The sequence below is a fragment of the Homo sapiens genome, chromosome 2 (assembly GCF_000001405.40).
Source record: "Homo sapiens chromosome 2, GRCh38.p14 Primary Assembly".
Taxonomy (NCBI): Eukaryota; Metazoa; Chordata; class Mammalia; order Primates; family Hominidae; genus Homo; species Homo sapiens.
Window position 1 is genome coordinate 146,632,817 of NC_000002.12, and position 2,875 is coordinate 146,635,691.

At 38.3% G+C, this 2,875-nt stretch overlaps 1 annotated feature.

The window, feature by feature from the left end:
- Nucleotides 1,036-2,235: an enhancer, noted in NCBI's record as "BRD4-independent group 4 enhancer chr2:147391420-147392619 (GRCh37/hg19 assembly coordinates)". NCBI's record gives its function as "activates an origin of replication core promoter dependent on BRD2, P300/CBP, MED14 and CDK7 cofactors, and independent of BRD4, by STARR-seq in HCT116 cells {active_cell/tissue: HCT116}" and the evidence as "EXISTENCE:reporter gene assay evidence [ECO:0000049][PMID:35650434]".

Sequence of the window (2,875 nt, forward strand, 5' to 3'; positions counted from 1 at the left end):
CCATAGCAACGAGCCTTCAATTAAATAGTCCAACCTGATACTTTCTAGGGCCCTGACTAGCTCACTCACATGCTTTCTCACATTCTGTAAATATTATGTTATTCCCCAGTTATGGGTAATGAAAAAGTCCCTTGTTTACTGTTTTGCACTGTTTCATATAGGAAGTAGATCACATGACCCTTCTATTCTCACAATCTGCAGAATTACCTAGTTTTATCATATTCCTGGAGTTCAGCCTAGAAAAGTGAACATAGCGCCCCGCTTTGGAGACTCTCACTATATGCCCACCAGCACTAGAAATATTTATAAACTGTAAGCAGTTAAACTGGTTCTTAGATTATATTACATTGCAACAGTTGTCATTATTTATGTAGTAAATATACTTATTTATGTAAAACAGAACATATCTAATAAAATAATGTATCACATTGATCAACCAAAGAATCAGTGGGCAATGAGAGTGCCAACAGGTCAGCCTCCAAAGTGAAGGAGTTGCCCAGCACTGGCCAGAGGAATGCATACCTGTCAAGCTAAATCAAGAATCTCATCTGCTTCAAATATTACAGCATGAGGCCATTACACATTTGGATCATGTAACTAATTATCCCTATGCTTATTTTAGACTTACTTAAATAACCCTCTGGCAAGCTAGCTTCCCAAATGATACAGGAAATATACTGGTGAACTCTCATACATTTTATTGTACATGAATATATCAGCATAATTTTATACATCATCCTCTAAAGAGTTTTATTTACATAAGTTCATATTCTCAGTTCTGGTTTATGCCAGGATACTCACAAGAAAGTACCTGCCCTCCTGCCACCACTGGGTTCACAAGACTGAAAAAAGTGGTGAATTTAGTTAGGCAACTGCTGTCTTCTGTGGAATCTTTGTCTCAATGTTCTTTCCTCAAAATTCTACTATATGAATTTTCCAGGTCTATAATATCCTACTAATGTAAAGGCTTTTTACATGATTGTTTTATTTTGTTTTGTTTTTTGTTTTTTTGAGACAGAGTCTCACTCTGTTGCCCAGGCTGGAGTGCAGAGGTGCAATCTCAGCTCACTGCAACCTCCGCCTCCCGGGTTCAAGCAATTCTCTGCCTCAGCCTCCCGAGTAGCTGAGATCACAGGTACCCACCACCAAGCCCGGCTAATTTTTGTATTTTTAGTAGAGACGGGGTTTCACCATGTTGCCCAGGCTGGTCTTGAACTCCTGACCTCATGATCCACCCGCCTCGGCCTCCCAAAGTGCTGGGATTACAGGCATGAGATGTTTCAAGTGATAGCCTTAAGCAGAGCTGCTCCACAATTTTCTTTTATAAAAGATCTCTAAATACAATGCCGGTGGAGAATTTACTAAAAAGCTTGTTATTGGCTGTTTATAAATATTAGCCCAAGATTTATTGCTATTTGTCATATAAATATCTAAAATATTTCATTGTGCTTAGTTTATATCTATAAGTGAGACTTCCTTGTTAAGGAGGTATATTCACACATCAGAGCAGTCAAGGCTCACCTCCGAAAGGAGAGTCATCTGACGTCAAGAAAAAACCAAAAGTAAGTATTGTGAGGGTAGCAGGGAAAGAAAGCCTGGGTAATCCACATACCTGAACGAGTACTTGTCTGCACCTCATATTCAACTAGTGCCAAACAGGAGTCAGTTATTATTGATTCCATAGAGCTGAGTCACATGAAATTCATTCTCTCTGGGATTTGGCCAGAAACAAGGTTTATTAAGCCTTACATCACTTTATTATCCAGGTTAACTCCTCACTCTAAGGGCTAAGAGAGCTTTATTATTAGTTTGCAATTTTGTATGTTTTAAGTGGAATGACATTATTTTGCCCAAGTGAATAAAATGAAGCACAGTAATTGTAATTGCTATTGCCAGACTCCATAGCGAGCCTCGCAGGATTTTCCAAAAGTAAAATGACAATGCATCTTTGTCAACCTGGCCACCAACCCACCACGATGATTTCTGGCATATTTCCAACATTCTCCAACAATTCTTGGGTGTCCCTGCATAAGATATACGACATGTCAAAGTCCAGATTCATTACATTTCTGCTTTTTTTTCTTTAGTACAAGATAATCCTTCATCATTGACTCATTTTTTAACAGAGTGCTCCAGTTAAAAATATATCAAGATCTTGCCACAAGATGTCTTGACACTGACTCATTATTATAGAAAAGAATATGTTCAAGGAAACGAATGGGTAGGATAATGGCCAAGTGACAAAGCACAGCACTATACACATAAGATGGATAGCATTGACATAAGATGATAAACTGGAGTACCTGAACGCTCATGATAATTTAAATTGTATCCGTTTAAGAAAAGTGCAGTTGAGAATTAAAGAGAACCAACACATCATATGAATATAACAAAGTTAATGCCTTAGGCTTACATTACCTGGTCCCCGGCCTAAGAGATAATCTCATCACTCACTGCTAATTTCCCTCCTCACTCCCCTTCGCATTCCTTGGTTTTGTATTTGTATGTGTGCAACATGCACAATATACACACATGAGCACATACTTGTAACCTACCAACTTGACTTCTGACAGTTTCTTGACTACTTCATACTTGTACACATCACTAGCATTTTGTTCTTCTAGTACCGTCTACTCAAAACTTTCTTGTTTCCTTTACTCTTTGTTCTACTAATATAGGCCCAGTATAGATCTTCGTTCTCAGAAATATTTGGTTTACAATGAAATAAACTGGTACAAACTTAAGCCAAAATGTGGATGCCACATATGACATGGCCACTTCTCATAGAACCCAAGCATAGCCATGTGGTAGAAACAAGGTTTAGAATTTGTGTGTGTGTGTGTGTGTGTGTGTGTGTGTGTGTATCAGTTGTGAT